General features: G+C 51.9%; 1 pseudogene, besides 4 other annotated features; it reads left to right on the forward strand.

Annotated features, from left to right (window-relative positions):
• Nucleotides 581-1081: an enhancer, noted in NCBI's record as "H3K27ac hESC enhancer chr20:31899476-31899976 (GRCh37/hg19 assembly coordinates)". NCBI's record gives its function as "activates a minimal SCP1, AML or CMV promoter by ChIP-STARR-seq in naive H9 embryonic stem cells {active_cell/tissue: H9 hESC(naive)}" and the evidence as "EXISTENCE:reporter gene assay evidence [ECO:0000049][PMID:30033119]".
• Nucleotides 1082-1582: an enhancer, noted in NCBI's record as "H3K27ac hESC enhancer chr20:31899977-31900477 (GRCh37/hg19 assembly coordinates)". NCBI's record gives its function as "activates a minimal SCP1, AML or CMV promoter by ChIP-STARR-seq in naive H9 embryonic stem cells {active_cell/tissue: H9 hESC(naive)}" and the evidence as "EXISTENCE:reporter gene assay evidence [ECO:0000049][PMID:30033119]".
• Nucleotides 5780-18473, forward strand: BPIFB5P (BPI fold containing family B member 5, pseudogene; annotated as a pseudogene).
• Nucleotides 10582-11081: an enhancer, noted in NCBI's record as "H3K27ac hESC enhancer chr20:31909477-31909976 (GRCh37/hg19 assembly coordinates)". NCBI's record gives its function as "activates a minimal SCP1, AML or CMV promoter by ChIP-STARR-seq in naive H9 embryonic stem cells {active_cell/tissue: H9 hESC(naive)}" and the evidence as "EXISTENCE:reporter gene assay evidence [ECO:0000049][PMID:30033119]".
• Nucleotides 12891-13508: an enhancer, noted in NCBI's record as "H3K27ac-H3K4me1 hESC enhancer chr20:31911786-31912403 (GRCh37/hg19 assembly coordinates)". NCBI's record gives its function as "activates a minimal SCP1, AML or CMV promoter by ChIP-STARR-seq in primed H9 embryonic stem cells {active_cell/tissue: H9 hESC(primed)}" and the evidence as "EXISTENCE:reporter gene assay evidence [ECO:0000049][PMID:30033119]".

Here is a 19004-nt window from a genome sequence, read left to right on the forward strand (position 1 = left end):
GTAGCCCCTCTAGTCTGGGTCCCACCTGGTCCTGATGAAGGGATCCCTGTCCCAGTCCACGTGACCCTGTCAGAGTCAAGTAGCTCCTCCACCCCAGCCAAGCGGGGCACAGGGATCCTTCTCCAAAACAGCCCGAGCCGTATATCCTCCGCGTCCCATCACCCACACCCTCTGGGGCTTCCTGGGGGTCAGCAGATACATAACCCTGGCTTCCTCACCCTTTGGGGGAGGGAACAACTCTAGGACACCTGCTGTAGACAGGCTCCCAGCTCACCAGCGGGACTGGGCCCCAGTTGTCCATGCTGATAACCAGCGTGCTGACACAGTTTTTTTTTTTGGTGGGGGGGGTGTGGTTTGGGGTTTGGTTTGGTTTTGTATTGTTTTGTTTTGTTTTGTTTTGTTTTTTGAGACAAGGTCTTGCTCTGTTGCCCAGGCTGGAGTGCAATGACACAATCTCAGTTTACTGCAGCCTCAAACTCCTAGATTCAAGTTATCCTCCTGCCTCAACATTCCAAGTAGCTTGAATTATAGATGTGCACCACCATGCCCGGCCCAATATGCTCTTTATAGGTTGCCTCACCTCCCCACCTCACTTCCACACTCCCCTACCAGTGTTCCCTGGGGTCATCTCCCAAATCAACTACCTGCACTCCAATCCTGTTCTCAGGGTCTGCTTCTGGTGAACCTCAATCAAGATAGCCATTTGCTCCAGGCAGGCACTATTCTAAGGATCTTCCAGACCTTTGGTCACGCCACCTTCCCCAGCGCCTGTGGCACAGGCTCCCCCCACACCTGCACCTGACAAATGAAGAAACCAAGGCTCTGACAACTCTGCACCACTCCCAAGCAGCCCCCAACTATTACCCCACACCACCTCCTTCTTCTCTCTGCTCCTTTATCGCCTACCCACTTGGGTTTCCACCTCCCCCAAAAAAAGAGAGGGGTTGTTCTCCTGTGCCAGCCTCCTGATTTGGGCCTTGAAACACAACCACCCTCCATGAACTGCTGAGGCTCCTCCAGGCTGGGAATTCCACGACTCCACTGCCTTGCTGGGCTGCGGGAGGAAAACTCCTCAATTTCCTGCTGTCTTAGCAGCAGCAGCAAAGAGAAAACACCAAGAGATCTCATTAAATCATCGTGCCTTGCAGGAATTAGTACTGTGTTTGTCTTACAGATGGGAGATGAAGTAACAAACAGCTGGTGATGTGATGGGGCTGGGGCGGGAACCCAGGCCTCACCCACTTTGCCCTGAGCCTCCCAGCTGAATCCACAGCAGGTTATAGATCCAATTTTCTTTCTTTCTTTATGTCTTTTTTTTTGAGACAGGGTCTCACTCTGTCGCCCAGGCTAGAGTACAGTGGTGCAATCTCTGCTCACTGCAACCTCCGCCTTCCCAGGCTCAAGCAATTCTCCTGCTTCAGCCTGCCGAGTAGCTGGGATTACAGGCATGCGCCATCATGCCCGGCTGATTTTTGTGTTATTAGTAGAGACGGGGTTTCGCCATGCTGGCCAGGCTGGTCTCGAACTCCTGACCTCAAGTGATCCACCCGCCTCGGCCTCCCAGAGTACTGGGATTACAGGCATGAGCCACCGCGCCGGGCCCCAGTTTTCTTTTTCTTCAAAATAACGGTAACAACCAGCAGCCTCTGCTCCCAGCACAGTGTTATCTACTTCCTGTGAGTTGAGCATTCCCCTTTTACAGATCAATAAACTGAGGCTCAGAGAGAGGCAGTAACAGTGTCTTGCCCATCTCCGTGTCCTGCCTAGGGCTTCCCTTTTGTGGAAGACACCCCCATGAAACCTCCCATCTCTCAGCAGAGATTAGTCAATGAGGTAAGCATATGGAGGCCGTGGGGCTCCGGTCTTTTTCATTTAGAGACCAGATTTGGGAAGGAAAGAAGACCTCAGTGGTTCCACTAACACCCTGCGCCTTCCTGGTGACTCAGGTGAGCAGTTAACCCAAGAGCTTTTCTCTGCCCTTGGCAGAAGGAAGACAGCCCTTCACAATAATATTGAGACCCAGTTTGCAGAAATGAAGGGGACCTATCAACTCTTAAATCATATTCTAACCCAAAAAATCTGAGATTCTAAAATAAGAATATCCCATCTAATCTATGCTGCCAAGTCATATTAGGTTGATGCAGCAACTTAATACTGACACTAGCCCTTTGCTTTTGAGGTTAGCCAAAACGAGAACTTCAGAGCTGCCATTGACCTTGTGCTTCCTGCACAGCTGCTGTCTTCTAGACCCCACCCTTCAGGTTGGGCACGGTGGCTCATGCCTGTAATCCCAGCACTTTGGGAGGCTGAGGCAGGCAGATCACGAGGCCAAGAGATCGAGACCAGCCTGGCCAACATGGAGAAACCCCGTCTCTAATAAAAATACAAAAATTAGCCAGACATGGTGGCACGCACCTGTAGTCCCAGCTACTCGGGAGGCTGAGGCAGGAGAATCACTTGAACCTGGGAGGCGGAGGTTGCAGTGAGCCGAGATCACGCCACTGAACTCTAGCCTGGGCAACAGAGAGAGACTCCATCTCAAAAAAAGAAAAAAAAAAAAGAACTTGCCCTTCCATTGTCAGCCTCTCTGCCCCAGGTCTCCAGCCAAAGAACACAGTTTAACACCTGCTCTGTCCATGCCTCTGAGTTGTGAAAGGGAAAGACATTAACCCCAGGAGGAAACCCTGTGAAAAATCCAAAATCCACCTAGAGAAGAGTCACACCTGCCATTGGGGTGCCCATACTAGACAGCAATTAATGAAGCCGTCAATGCTGACACAGCCAGCTGTGCACACTCGCAGTGGGGATGCCAGGATTCCCACATCAAAGGACCCTGGCACAGCAGTTTGGTTGGGAGCTAGGTCTCCGAGTCTTGGAGCTGCGTGGCATAGTGACACCAAATTTCTCTTTCACTGAGTGGTCAGACCCCTCTCTGGGCCCTGATTTCAAATCCCAGCTTTATCATGGACATGCTGTGTGACCCAGAGCAAGGTACTTAACGTCTCTGAGTCTCAGTTTTCTCATCCATAAAATGGAAGTTAAAAGAAATAACTTTTTGAACACTTCCTATATGCTAGGCCCTGTACTGAGTTGCCTTAACGAACCTTCACCATACCAAAAAGACATAAATGGATCTATCATTCCCATGTTACAGACACGAAAAGTGAGGCTCAGAAGAGAAAGCCACTTGCCCACAGTCACACAGCTCCTGATTGAAGGTGGCAGTTTGAGCCCAGGCCTGTCTGGCTGCAGAGACCATGCCATTGGTGACCACGTCATAGCAAAAACTGATGGCTTGGACAACCTAGACAGAAAGGGCATAGGTCCTGAGACTCGGCAGAGCTTGAAAGTAATTTTAAAATTAAAAAATTTTTTAAAAGACTATAGAGAATGGCTACCAGAAGGTGGACCCCAGAGCCCCCCTGCCTGGCCCTTGCCACCCACCTGCTCTCCTCCCTCTGCCTCACCCCCACACAATCACTCCCGTGGGTTCTATGACTGCCACATCCTGTACTAGGAGCCCCCGCAGGGCCCCTCCCGAGAGCTGGGGTCCCTACCAGGGCTCCACAGCTCCAAGGACGTTCCAAACGGAAATGACCCACTCTCAAAATCACAGGGCCCCACCCGCCTCCTCCCTAAAGCCTGTTGGTCCAGGACTCAGGGCCTGCCCCTCCAGCCTCAGTTTTGGCCAGAAGCCCCTTGCCACCCAGTGCCAAGAGGACCTCTCCCTCCACTGAAGAGCTCCTCTGAGCCGCAAGCCTGGCCAAGGGGCTGGACTTCCTGCCCGGGTACCCACCCGCCTGGGCTTCTGAGCTCAGGTTAAAAAAGTTGTCTTTCTGGGAAGCTGGAGACAGAGGCCAAGGAGAGATTCCAGATAACCCCATTCTTGGAGATGTAAGGCCAAGGAGGTCAACGGGGCATTTCTCAAATATTTCTTGAGCACCTATAAAAACGTTGTGAAGTGGCACACAGATTTTTAGCACCAGGCGAACCTGGGCCGGAATGCCGGCTCTGCCACTCACTACCTGTGTCACCTTGGGTAAGTTATCTCTCCATTCTGAGCCTCAGTTTCATCATCTGTATCTTGGGCCTGATATCAATGATCTGAGACCATTGGGGTGAGGACTCAATGATGCGATGAAGCTTGTGCAGCCCTCAGCATGGTGCCTGGCACATAGTATGGACTCCAGAAGTCAGGGTCGGTATGGCTGGCTCAACCCAGGAAGTGGAGAGGGTGGAAAGATGAGTGTGCTGTGCTGAGGGCAATGGGGGAAAGAGATCTGACTTGAGTGAACTGATAGAGAAAAGTGTTTGACACAGAGACTGACTAAGTGCTGGTTGGATGAATAGTGGATGCATTTGACATCAGCTTGGAAGAGCAAATGCCACAAGCACAAATTTCACAGCCCAATCAATACAAAGCAGTTTGTGTATGCAAACAAACACAAAACCATTCTCTTTCCGTTATCCGATTTGGTCACTGTTTTGAAATCCTGTGCCACCAAGTAGCAAAAAACTGGATACTCAAGGCAATGCCAGGACATTCTAAGGCACTCCAGCGTAGGCTTAGCCACTTCAGGGGTCTCCTCGCCTTGCTCAAGGGCAGCGTCTACCCTCTGGGTGGCTTCTTCATGGGCATGGCATGGAGGGCAATGGTAGCTCCTCTGTGGGCCCTGTTTATAGTGACATCTGCCCTAGAGATGTCTGCATTTTGGCTGGTCCCTGCCTTGCAGTTCCAGAAGCTTCGTTTCCTAGTGGAATGCTCCTGCCCACCCAGACAGCCCCTGCCTGCAGATTCTGGGGTCCCAGCTATGCCCTTTCAGACACGTGGCAGGGCTGAGGTTCTGCTGGTAGGAACTGGTGGTACAAATGCAGTGTTTGGAATATTTCTCTGCTAGCTGGTAAAGATCTGTAGCTTTAAGCCCCCCAGGTGCCTACCGCTACCACCTCTCTGACACCTCCCCCAGAACCTCTATCCCATAGCAAACTCAAGATCCAGAAGCCTCCAGTGTTAAAAGGAAGTGCTAGGCTATGAGGAATGACTCACACTTGTAATCGCGGCACTTTAGGAGGCCAACACAGGAGGATCGCTTGAGTCCAAGAGTTCGAGACCAAACTGGGCAACATGGCGAAATCTAGCCTCTGCTAAAAATACAAAAATTAGCTGTGCATAGTGGCATGCTCCTGTAGTCTCAGCTACTTGGAGGCTGAGGCAGGAGGATTCCTTGAGTCTGGGAAGTCGAGGCTGCAGTGAGCCAAGATTGTGCCACTACATTCCAGCCTGGGTGACAAGGCAAGACCCTGTCTCAAAAAAAAGGGGGAAGTAATACATCCTTTAACCTCTCACAATGTCATCCAACCATATTAACAGCTGTTGGGCACTCACTGCTTGCTAAGTGCTTTGCACATATTATGGAACATATTCCTCACAACGACCTAGAATTGTCCCCATTTTACAGATGAGAAAACTGAGGCATGAAGAGGTCCTGTGACTTGCTCAGGTCCCACCCTCAGGAAGTGGCAGGGCCCAGCTTTGAAGCCAGCCCACGCTCTGGAGAAGGGCACTCCAGGCCGAGGGATCCACAAGCACAAATGTACAGTGGCAGGAAGTGCAGGCTGTGTTCGAGGACTAGCGGATCTGGAGCTGGGGGCAGAGGCAAGGGAAGGAAAGCTGGAGAGATGGTCCTAGGAGAGGCAGAGCTGGGAGATACACAGTGACAGGGCCCCGGTGAGGACGTCAAGGCTCCCACCTCTGTGTCTGCAGGTCCTGGCCAAGAGAATGCTGCTGCTCTGGATGTCACTGCTTGCTGGACGCTGCTGCCCCAGGCCCAGGGGAAGGCCCAGCACCTACTCTGCCTTCAGAGGACAAGAATCAGTGGGAAACAGGTAAATGTTAAGGGGTGAGCGTCAGAGGCATGAACTCAGGAAAGGCCAGGGGTGGGAGACGGCACCACCTCCCTGCTCAATGCTTCTCCTGTACAGGCCTCCCCCTTGCCACAGAATTCACCTTACCTCACCCAGAGCTGATCCTGTCTCTCCCCTGCTCTAACACTTGCCATGGCTCCTCAGTGCCCTCAGGAGAACCTCTGAGCCCCTTATCCTGGCATTCAAGGCCCTGCATCTCCAGCCTCTTCCACTGCCTCCTTCCCTGACCACCCCCACAGACTTCACAGCTCCCTCCTGTGCTAGGCTGTTCCTCTGGCCTGAAATGCCTTTCTCTCCTGCTCAACCTGGTGCATCTGGGCCCATGCTTGAACGCAAAGTTCTAACCACCTCCTCTGGGAATTCCTCTCGATTTCCCCAGGCAGAAGGGATCTCTCCTTCCTCTGAGTTCCCACAGCCCTTTGGTGACGTCTCCTCTGCGGCCTTATCCAAGTGTGCTGCGCCTGCTGTCCCATCTGTCTGTAGGGCTGGCTGCCTCTGTCCCTAACTCCTGACTGAGCTGTTTGTCATCCATCCAGCCCCATCCCCGCTCGCCACGCTGCAGCCTCACTTATCTTTCTGTTTCCTACCACGCCAGGCTCACCAGCACCTCAGGGCCTTTGCACGTTCTGTTCCCTCTGCCACCATGGCTGTCCCCGAGATCAGCCTGCATGATGGATTCCTCCACCTCACTCAGGCCTCAGCTCAGAGGCCTCCTCCTCAGAGAGGCGCTTCCTTTTCACCCCATCAGAAACAGATCTTCACCCAGTCATGCTCCGACTCCACTGTATTTTTTCTTTTGCACAGATCACTCTGGAATATTGCCTTGCTTGCTGATCTGAGTGCTCGGCTTTTGTCTCTCTCCCTACCAGGAAGTAAACTCCATGAGGGCAGGAGCCACACTGCTTCTGTCCCTTGAGCCCAGGAGAGAGTAAGCACTCAGTAAGTGCTGGCTGCCAAATGACTGAGTGAATTTGGTGAAAGGTTGAATGAACAGTACAGCCCCACACTGAAGCGGGGCTTGCATCCTCGGACAGTTCAGACCTGTTCTCAGAGCACTACACCCTGGACTGCATGCTCAGCCTGCCTGTGACAGGGGCCAGGAGCAAAGGTGTTGCTGTCCTGGACCACCTGCCCTTTGTAGGCAAACGCCTCTCCAAGAAGAGCAGTGGGCTGGACCTGTCGCAGGTCGGTCGGGGAACTGCTTTCAGGGAAGAGCCTCCCCCTGCTGTGGGAGCTACTCAGGGCAGGTGGATAAGTGGAGGGCTAGGACTGCCTCTGGCCTTTCCTGGTACCCTGAGCAGCTGTGTTCTCAGCACGGTGTCTTTGGAGGTTCTCTATAGCCTGGAAAGTGCTAAGCAAGTCTACTTTTCTTGACCCTATGTCTCTCCAAGCTGCTTGAAATCTTCCTAGGAAGAAAGTAGGGTCTCAATCTGGGACCTCAGCCCGGCAGCCCTCCTGCTCCCTACACTCAGCCTACAACTGGGTTTTCTGCAAACCTACATAGGTTTTTGAAAAATATTTTTAATGAATTGCCAACATATAAAAATCAAGAAGATTTTAATCAAAATCTGGGTTTCCCAATTGTATTAGATTGTGAGGACTGCCATAACAAAGTACTATTAATACAAACTGAGCACCCTGGACAACAGAAACATATTGTCACAGGCACAGCGGCCGACATCAGTAATCCCAGCACTTTGGGAGGCCAAGATGGGCAGATCATTTGAACCTAGGAGTTCAAAACCAGCCTGGGCAACATGATAAAACCCCATCTCCACAAAAAATACAAAAATTAGCCAGGCATGGTGACGCGTGCCTGTAGTCCCAGCTACCCTGGAATCTGAGGTGTGAGGATCACCTGAGCCCTGGAGTTCAAGGCTGCAGCAATCCATGATTGTGACACTGCGACTCCAGCCTGGGCAACAGAGTAAGTCTCTGTCTCAAAACAAAACCTCCAGGTAAGGCAAGAGGGCTCGCACCTGTAATCCCAGCACTTCGGGAGGCCAAGGCGGGTGGATCACTTGAGATCAGGAGTTCGAGAACAGCCTAGTCAACATGGTAAAGACCAGTCTCTAATAAAAATACAAAAATCAGCCAGGTGTGGTGGCACGCACCTGTAATTCCAGCTGACTGGGAGGCTGAGGCAGGAGAATCACCTGAACCTGGGAGGCAGAGGTTGCAGTAAGCCAAGATCACACCACTGCACTCCAACCTGGGCAACAGACTGAGACTCCATCTCAAAAACAAACAAACAAACAAAACCCACCAGAGCCGGCACAGTGACACACATTTGTAGTCCCAGCTTCTCAGGAGGCTGGAGAGGAGGATCGCTTGAGCCCAGGAATTTGTAATGTGATTGCACCTGTGAATAGCCACTGCATTCCAGCCTGGACAACATAGCGAGACACCATCTCAAAAAAAAAAAAAAATCCGTGCTAAAGGCAGATATACAGCAGGGAGCCTGACCCAGAAAAGTTTTCCTCTGGCATTTGAATTTGTTGCTGCCTCTTCCAGTGGGCACCAGATGAGTCACCAGCTTGTACCTAACGTTCAAAAAATACCTAAAACTCGGCTCCTCTCAGCTCAGGGAGGTGCTGGTAGCTGATGGTGCAGAAGGGAGCAGAGCAGATGGGTCCTGAGCAGATGGCAGAGGGCTTACCTGCCACCTTGCCTTCCCTGACTCTCGCTGGCCTGCTTCTCTTTTGCAGATGCTTACGCTCCTCTACTGTTCCCTCCCCCATTTTACAGAGGCTGACACGGAGGCCCAGAGAAGGGAAGGGACTTGCCTGGGTCGTCAAGCCTTGGAGAATGGAACTAGAGCTCAGCGTTCTACAGCTGGGCTGGGGGCAAGGGAAGGGGTTGTCCCAAAGCTGCTCCCACCCCTCCTGGGCTCTGCCCCTATTCCAGCAGATCCGGATACTCACACCCCACAGAGTCACAGAGGCCTGGCCAGGCCACACCAACATCCTCCATGCCTCTCACAGGTTGGTCATAGAAGACGCCAAAAGACCTGAGATCACCCTGCAAATCCTAAGTGATAGCCTGCTGCAGGTCACGTTGCGCTGCAAACTGTACCTCTCACTCCAGGAGTAAGTACACACGGGCACTTCCGCATCACCCATTTGGGTGCCAGGCAGACCAACCCCTCACTGCCATGAATCAAGAGGCAGCCATGCAGGGCTAGCAAAAGTCACATGCCTCATGTCACCACACGATCCTTTCCACTTGGGCGTGTTTCAAAGCCATTTTTACTGATAAGGAAACTGAAGCACGGAGTGGGAGAAGAACCTGCCCAGGAACACACAGTAAGTCGGTGGTGCAGGTTGGATAAAACCCTCTGACTTTCATGTCAGGGGACGTGAGCCCATCTGAGCAAATGGGCAGGACAGTGTATTAACAGGATTACCCGAGGAAGGTGTGGTTCAAGCACGCCTTGGAGTCTGGCACTCCTGGGCTGGGCAACTTGGGCAAGAGGTGTCCATTCTCTGGGCTTCGGCTTCCTCATCTATAAAATGGGTATAATTGGCCAGGCACGATGGCTCAGGCCTGTAATCCCAGCACTTTGGGAAGCTGAGGTGGGCAGATCACTTGAGGTGAGGAGCTTGAGACTAGCCTGGCCAACATGGTGAAGCCTTGTCTCTACTAAAAACACAAAAATTAGCTGGGCATGGTGGTGGGCGCCTGTAATCCCAGCTACTTGAGAGGGTGAGGCAGGAGAATCGATTGAACCTGGGAGATGGAGGTTGCAGTGAGCCGAGATTGTGCCATTGCACTCCAGCCTGGGCGATAGAGCAAGACTCCGTCTCAAAAAAAAAAAAAAAAGATATAATTCTGGTTTCCTGCTGCACTAGGCTGTTGTGAGAGTTCACCTGCAAAATTCTGAACTGCAGCTGATTGGACAGACCAGAGGTTGCAAACACAACAGCCAACAGAGGCAGTGATACAAACCAGTGTTTGCAAGTAAAACAGAAATATTCCTAAATGCCCTTTAGGAACGTGTCCACTCTTGTTTTTCTTGTAAAATTTGGCTCTCTTCATCTAGCTTCCACCTTTTTTTCTTTTTTTTTATTTTTTTCAGACAGAATCTTGCTCTGTTGCCCAGGCTGGAGTGCAGTGGCGCGATCTGGGCTCACCACAACCTCTGCCTCCCAGATTCAAGCAATTCTCATGCCTCAGACTCCCGAGTAGCTAGGATCACAGGCATGCGCCACCACACCCAGGTAATTTTTTTTATTTTTAGTAAAGACAGGGTTTCACCATGTCGGCCAGGCTGGTTTCAAACTCCTGGCCTCAAGTAATCCACCCGCCTCAGCCTTCCAAAGTGCCGGGATTACAGGGGTGAGCCACCGCTCCTGGCCAAACTTCCCCCTTTTAATAGAGATGTGAGTACAAATAAATATTTCTTTGATAGACACGTGGACACAGAGAAATATTTCTCTGCAATATGGTAAACATATCATTCCCCTTGTAGGGATAGTGCAGTAAAAATGGAACCTGACCACTGGCCTGGTGGGGACCACAGCAAACTAGAGAGCACATGGCCCATCTCAAGGTCACCCTCAGCCCCAGATGTTTGCCACTCTGTGAGACCAGGGGATCCAGTGTTGTCAGATCATCTGGGTTTTCCATATTTTTAATGAATCCTCCTAGTTTTTAATTTGAGCCCTTCAGGCAACGGCAGGCTATCAGCTTGTGACCTCTGGCCTCAACTTTGGGCTCCGCACTTTCATCTGCCCAAATACACTGTCCCTACAGGATCCCGTGGCTCAAAGTCATCAAGAGCATTCACATTGGAGTACGGCTGGAACAGACAGGGAATACCACCAAGGTGGCTTTCGAGGAGTGAGGAGTGCCACAGCCCACCTGGACACCTGAGCACTGAGGCTCTGCAGCAGTGAGTATGTGCCTGCTCCAAAGCTTCCACTGGGCAAGGCTGCGTGCCAGCCCTTTCTTTCTTTCTTTTTTTTTTTTTTTTGAGACTGAGTCTTGCTCTGTTGCCCAGGCTGGAGTGCAGTGGCACAATCTCGGCGCACTGGAACCTCCGCCTCCCAGGTTCAAGCAATTCTCCTGCTCAGCCTCCCAAGTAACTGGGATTACAGGCACCCACCACCACACCTGGCTAATTTTTGTGTTTTTAGTAGAGACAGGGTTTCCCCATGTTGGCCAAGCTGCTCTCGAACCCCTGACCTCGAGTGATCTGCCCACCTCGGCCTCCCAAAGTGCCAGTATTACAGGCGTGAGCCGCCTTGCCCAGCCAGATGCCAGCCCTTTCTGCACTGATCCTTCACTGAAACTCCGGGCTGGGACTGCCTCTCCCCAGCTAGTTGTCTGGAGTGGCCGGAGCACCGGGAACAGGGTCATCTCCAAGGCCACAGATGGTACCCATCAGCATCTCCTTCCTCCATGTCAAATGTCATTGCTAAGAGCTGAGGTTCAAGCCTCAGCTTGGACACTTCCTAACAATGGGGCCTGGCCAAGTTATTTGACCTCTAGGAGCCTCAGTTTCCTCACCAGTAAAATGGAATGGCTCACAGTACCCAACCAGCATGGCTGGTTGTGGGGGAAAAAAATGAGCTAACCCATGTGACTCACTTAGCACAGAGCCTACCACATAAAATGGTCACGATCTATCGTTCTTATGTTTACCCAACACAAAACCTCCAAGAATCCTTCTATGACCACTGTCAGGTGTGACCTCTCCCTGCTCAGAAATTCCAGAGACCTTTATCAGAAAGAGAAATAAAGAGACAGAGGCAGGTGGGTGCCATGGCTTATACCTGTAATCCCAGCACTTTGGGAGGCTGAGGCAGGTGGATCACGTGAGGTCAGGAGTTCAAGACCAGCCTGGCCAACATGGTGAAACCCTGTCTCTACTAAAAATACAAAAATTAGCCAGGCGTGGTGGCAGGCGCCTGTAATCCCAGCTACTTGGGAGGCTGAGCAGGAGAATCATTTCAACTCAGATGCAGAGGTTGCAGTAAGCTGAGATCACACCACTGCACTCCAGCCTGGGTGACAGAGCAAGACTCTGTCAAAGAGACAGAGGCAGAGAGAGAACCAGGAAGAAATAAAGAGAAGCAGGAGAAAATCAGGGAGGGAGAAAGCAAGAAGGCAAGCAGAAACAGAAAGAGGGGAAGAGAAGAAAGAAGGGGCAGGAGGAGGAAGGCAGGGAAGGAGCAGCCACTGGAGCCCCCATGCCACACAGGCCTAGAGGGGCTTCCTCAACCCTGCCCTGACTCGCCCTCCTGACTGCAGTCTGCCAGCCATGGTGTGTCAGACCCCACCAGCCACCCTCTCCACTTCCTCTAGGATGGACACCCTCCTGGCAAACAAAGCCCAGCTCCTATCCACTGCTCCTTCCCCATCCTGATGGAATGACAGGAGGTGGATCGGGAGGACGGGAGGCTTCGAGTGGACCGGAAGGAGGCACTGTAAACAAAGGCGCAGAGAAGGAAATGGGCCAAACGAGGGAGAAGCAGGGAAACCAGGCTCCTGGGTCCAAAGCCCAGCTCTACCTCTTCCCGTGTGCAGGATCTTGAGTAAGTCACTTCCCCTCTCTGGGCTTTAGCCTCCTCATCTGTCAAATGATGACAATGACAGTTCCCATCTTGTGGCACTGTCGTGAGGTTCAAATGAGATTGTACATGTTGATGTGCAGGGCTGTGTCTAGCACATAGCGAGCCTGCAAATATGTTTGCTGTAACCAGTTGCCCAGGGAGGCCCTTCCCACTGAATTTCTTCTTCCTTCATTTCTATGAAGCTTGTGGCCCCCTGCAGCCCGGGCCAGAGAGCCTCAAGGCCTGAGCACCTGGCCCCCCAGCCCTTCCCAACATCAGCCCAGGGAAGCGTGGCAGACCTGCTCTTTTGGCTGGAAGTCTACAATGACATCTGTTCTGCCTCCACACCAGCAAGGAGTTCCACGTGGACCCCCAGGACTCCACAGTGAGTGCTAGAAGAAGGGGAAAGGGGCGGGGAGAACTATTATTGCTCCATTTTTCACATTAGGAAACCAAGGCCCAGATGGGGAATATGACTGGTCCAAGGTTACGTAGTGGGTAGGATCAGGGCTACAGCCAGATCTCCTGCCTCCCCGCTGGGCTGTCCATCACACACAGGAATGGCAGCTCTGAGACAGTCAGAAGTGAGCCTGTCATTCCACATCTACAGAAATTCTTACACCAGTGGGCAAGGGCATTCTTTGTATTTTACTAGTTATGTGGTGAAAAATAAATTTAACTTAGCCAGGCGTGGTGGTACACACCTGTAGTCCCAGCTACTGGGGAGGCTGAAGCACCAGAATTGCTTGAACCTGGGAGGCGGAGGCTGCAGTGAGCCAAGATCATACCATTGCACTCCAGCCTGGGCGACAGAGTGAGACCCTGTCAGCTTTGTTGTATGTATAGACATTTTCATAATAAAATGTCAGGAGAAAAATCATTGAAACAATACAAAGTTAACCTGTCCAGATAAATCATGGTGAGAAACCTCCTCTTACGCTGGGACGGACCAGTGGCAGGCGGTACATCCAGTAGTTACAGCTCATTGAGCCCCACTGAGCTCCCTCCCCAACCAGCCAGCTCAGAGCCCGTCTGCAGGATTTTAAAGACCAACACACACTTTGCCCCTTTTCCAGGCTGCAGACCTCATTCAGCTATTGTCACGGATTGAGCTGGAGCCCAGGCCCAGGGTGGGTGTGTTGCCAGCTCCTCCTCCAGAAGCCCAGCCAGGGTCTCAGGGGAGATTCTGAGACAGGAGCTGGGCCAGGTCAGGCCACATGGGCGTGTTCCCTTAGGCCAGGGTTTCCTGCCGTGGACTCCAAAAATCACTGCACCTGCTACACAGGCATTGTGAGGATTTAATGAGATGATGTAAGTAAGGCACTTAGCTCAGGGCTCAGCTCAGGTGACCATGGCCCTGTGCCTGCCATTACTATTCACTCCTGAATAAGACCCAAGCCTGCTGGGGGGACACCTAGATAATGGTGGGCAGTGACTGTACACAGGTCCCTCCCACTACATCAGTGCAACCCTCCAGTAACCCTGCACTGTCACCCCCTTCTACAGGTGAGCAAACTGAGGCTCAGCAAGGTGAGCTCACTCGCCCAAGCTCACATCGCTCAGTAAATGGTAGAACCAGGATTGGAACCCCGTCCCTGACTCCAAGATCCTTGCTCAATGTCCTTTCTCCAAAGTGTTTCAGAACAGAGCCCCTGATAGACAAGCAGTAACAATAACCACAACAGCTGACAAGTATATGGCAGTACTAGGTGCCGGGTTCTTTTCTAAGCACTTTATACAAATTAACTCATTGAATCTTCACAACAACCTCTGGGCTAGTTGCAATTATTATCCCTATTTTACAAGTGTGAAAATCAAAGCACAGAGAGATTAAGAAACTTGCCTCAGGCCACACAGCTTCCCAGTGGTGGAGCTGGAACTCCGGTTCCAAAACTCTATACTCTTACCTGCTATGTATGTTCAGGAGAAGGAGGATGTTATCCCACCTCCAAAAAGCCCAGGGAGGGTAAGTGACCTGGCCAAGGTCACACAGCAAGTTGCTGCAGTGCTAGAACAGAACCCCAGACCCTTGACTCCTAAGATAGCCTTGCCCCCGTTCTTCCAAGCTGGGAGCTGAGGAAAGCCATCTTTAGTCAATGCCTGCACCTTTTCTGCTGTAATTTCACCCAGGCTTCCAGTCAGTCCAGAGGGAGCATACAACTGACCATCAACACCCCTGATCCTCCCACGGTCCGCCTTGACGGCCACACGGCCACCATCATCCAGCCGGGCTTGCTAGTGCTACTGGGGCTCAGCATCACCTCCTCTGTCTCAGTTTCCTGGGTGAGTGTATTAGTCTATTTTCATGCTGCTGATAAAGACATACCCAAGACTGGGTAATGAAAAAGGGGTTTAAGGGACTCACAGTTCCACGTGGCTGAGGAGGCCTCACAATCATGGCAGAAGGTGAAAGTCATGTCTTACATGGCAGCAGACAAGAGAGAATGAGAACCAAGCAAAAGGGGTTTCCCCTGATAAAACCATCAGATCTCGTGAGACTTATTCACTACCATGAGAAAAGTATGGGGGAAATTGCCCCCAGGATTCAATAATCTCCCACCGGGTCCCTCCCACAACAGGTGGGAATTATGGGAGTTACAATTCATGATGAGACTTGGGTGGAGACACAGCCAATCATATCAGTTAGTGAGACGCAAAGGTCTTTGTTCCCTAGGGGGCCTGGGTCCACTGTGAGAACCCCTCCAGGGCCAGCGAGCTGTGCCTGCTGCTAAAGTGTTAAAATACTTTAACACCTGCACCCCTTTGTTCACCTCTGGTGCTCCACAAGGACCTCAGCAACTAAAGGATTCTGCCTCCAAGACCCTCAGCTCGGAGCCCTTGCCAGGTGGTGGTTAAGCCCTTTGACTGCCTCCCTTGGGCGTGATGGCATCAAAAGCCATCACAGGAGGAAGTCCAGAGGCCTGGAGCTCATGGAGCGCTGCGGTGTTTCTCCACTCCCCCAGAGAGAGGGTTACCCAGGCTAGAGAGGGCGGGGCCCTGGGAGGAAATCTGGGGAAATACAGCCTCCCAAAAGTTTCAGCTTCTCTATTCTGAGCCCCCTTGGGATTCCTATTTCCCGTTCCACGGACTTTGAAGTTGAGAAGGTGCCTCAAATAAGCGGTCAGGAGGGTCCCCACCATGGGTGAGCCACATGGCATCCATGGGGAAACAGTATCCTGGGGTCTTAGTTGACATGATTCTGCGGCAAAAAAACAAACAAACAAACTGGTCATCTCTGGCTTGTGGGAATCACTTCTCGGCCTTTCTTGGTGAAGATCATGTATCTGGCTGGTGGGGTAACATCCTATTTCTGGCTTATAAGGTGATCGTGTGAGTTACGGAGGCCCATAGACAACCCCCTCAACACCAAGGGGTCCTCTGGCTTCAAGGCAACAGTAATTCTAGAGCCAAGTGACTCTCATTACAAAAGGCTGTCCCTCCACTGGGCTGAGTCCCTCCAGCTGTGTCCAGCCCTGGCCCCACTGCCATCCAAGAGCACCCAGCACCCACCTGTGCCCCCACCCCCGGCAAGGCCCACACATGCCTGGTCTGGATCAACATGAACCAGTAGCTGGAGAAGACAATGACACAGGGTGGGGGTGAGGGCCAGATGAGAAGGGACCAAGCCCGAACAAGCATTCCTGGGGGCTGGGGGTCAAGGGGGTCCCTCCGGCTAGAACACAAATTCTTCTCCTGTTCTGACCTAATTTCAATTCTTCATAGAAACTTTTTTTGAAGGCTGCATTTTCCCTAAGAAATCAGGAACTACATGACCGGGCATGGTGGCTCATGCCTGTAATCCCAGTACTTTGGGAGGCCAAGGCAGGCAGATCACAAGGTCAGGAGATAGAGACCATCCTGGCTAGCACGGTGAAACCCCATCTCTACTAAAAATACAAAAAATTAGCCAGGCATGGTAGTACACACCTGTAATCCCAGCTACTCAGGAGGCTGAGACAGGAGAATTGCTTGAACCTGGGAGGCGGAGGTTGCAGTGAGCCGAGACCATGCCCCTGCCGTCCAGCATGGGTGACAGAGACTCTGTCTCAAAAAAAAAAAAAAAAGTGGAGTCCCCAGGACTGCTGATCCCCTGTGAGCATCTGAACACTGGTGTCCCATCCTTCCTCAGGCCAGAATCTGCTGACCCAGCTGAAATGTCCTTCCTGTTCCTCTGTCATCTGTTGCAGGAAGGACATTCAGGGGCCCTTCTCTTACAGCTTTTGAAGAGGGTGTTTCTGCCCATCACAACAGTGATCCCCACTTTCTCTGTCACACCCACATACCATACTCAGAGCAGCATTAAACATCTCCAAGACAGCTGACTTCTGCCTGGGGTTGGCTAAAAACTGCCCACAGGTGGCCAGGCGTGGTGGCTCACACCTGTAATCCTCCCACTTTAGGAGGCCAACACGGGAGGATCACTTGAGCTCAGGAGTTCAAGACCGGCCTGGGCAACATGGCAAGACCCTGTCTCTACAAAAATATTTTTTTAATTAAAGAATTGCCCACAGGTAAGGCAGAGGAGGCAGGGTAGAGATGCTGAAATCCGGGGAGTGTCATATGAGGGGGCTGCGGAAGGGACCATGGGTGCCCTCCTATTCTTCACCCGGACAGCAAGCAATGATGGAAGGTTAGAACTGGGACAAGTGCGCAGGGAGGGCTTCTCGAGGTGGGTGGAGGTTGGCATGATGGAAATCGGAATGGAAAAGGCCCTCAGAGGTGATGGCACCCAGAGCTCACATCTCCAACACCTGCAGGGGCAGGCGGGTAACACCCAGGTGAAGAGGCCCAGGTGGGGCCTTTGGTGAACACGACCCCGCCCAGTGGGCGGCTCCACTCTGCTCAGTCGAATGTTCTCAGCACAGCAGAACCGCAGATTATCTTTAAGAGACACCAGAAAGCTGAACTTTCTGAGATTTCACCCCCATCTTTAGATATCCGCAACAAACCTAAACTCTTCCAAACACCATTGCCTTGGTTTGGGCTCCCTCAGAAGCAGACTCTGAGCTGGGGAAGTGAAGGTGGCTTCGGGGGAGGTGATGCCAGGAAGATGGAGGGAGGAGGACTGAGTGCTACGAGTGTGTGCAGAGCTTCTCTGCTCCGTAGATCTCGGGGCTTCCGACACGGTTTGTGTAACAATCCCCCATCCACCCATGTGATGATTTGGTGAGTGCCTGTGTCCCCAGCCAGACAGTGAGCTGCCCCAGGGCAGGGACCCCTCGGTTTCTTGTTGCATCTCCAGCACCCTGTCCAGTACCTCGCATGCAGGAGGCACTCAAGAAATACATGCAGGAGAAACAGCTCAGACCTCACTCATCCGAGAAGTCACCTGAGATCCCTCCCCACCAGGCCCAGAGAGATTAAGTGATTTATTCAAGGTCACACAGCAAGTCTGCAGAGCTGAGCCCAGAACACTGGCTTCCCCAACAGAGCTTCTCCCTGAGCTCCGACTCATGTTGGGACTTAGAGTGACACTAGAGGGGCCGGCAGGTAATGACAATTAGGCCAGCAAGGGGGTATCGGACCCTCCCCTGAGCTCTAAGTGATGATGTGGGCATGGGTTGGGGCAAAGGCTGGTCAGCGCAGGAGAGGGAGCAGGAGGGGCCCAGGCCAGGCCCCCAAGGTCAAATCTGGGAGACTCAGTTTGCCAAAAATCAATTCCCAGCCAAATGGCTAACTCACTGAAACTCAAATTGCAAAATGACCAATTCTCCAAGTTTACCAAATTTACCCATTTCCCAAAATCTTGCTTTAAGGATAATGTTTCATGTATTTTATAAGCATTTGTGAATATTTCCTTCTTTGATATATTCAATGGATATTTTCTTATTAATATGACCAAATTTCTAGTGTTTTAAGGTTAATTTTTTAGTTTATTCCGACTTGTTTCTAATCCTTTTTTTAAGGACATTTTCTGTTTCTACCAACATTTTAGCATTTTTCGGGGGGGAGCATATAGTGTTTGGGGCTATTCCCCTCAATTAAAAAATAGCAAAATTCACTAACAGGTTTATAAGAATCCTTCAACAAAGTGAACATTCCTTAAAATGTTGCTGAGAAGAATGTGTTCAGTCACTGAATAGGTTCAAGGATTTCCCTTAATAAGGTTCTTAGTAAATGGGTGGAGCAGCCCTTTAGAGACCAGCTTTCCCAGCTGGAGCTGCTTGCTGTTCAGGGGCTGCCTGATGGGGGATGGAGATAGTCCACCCTGAGCAGGGGTGGGGGAACACACCCTGTCCCTTCCCCATTCTGAGCAGTGGAGCAGCCAGGGACCACCTCTGCCCACCAGGGCACTGAGGTCCCCTGCCCGCCCCTCTGGCAGAGCTGCTCAGAGAACACAGCCTCCCTGTGCCCAACATCAGGGGTCCTTCCACCAGGCCCAAAGGGACCTCTCAGAGGTAAGCCTGGGGAAAAAGAGCTGCCTGAGACGCACATGGGTGGTCGTGGCTATAAGTGACTTTGAGCCCTAGAGGTGCCTCGTCTCATCCTGCAGAAGAAGAAGCTGAGGAGGCGCTTGTGTCC

Source organism: Homo sapiens, chromosome 20 (assembly GCF_000001405.40).
Source record: "Homo sapiens chromosome 20, GRCh38.p14 Primary Assembly".
Taxonomy (NCBI): Eukaryota; Metazoa; Chordata; class Mammalia; order Primates; family Hominidae; genus Homo; species Homo sapiens.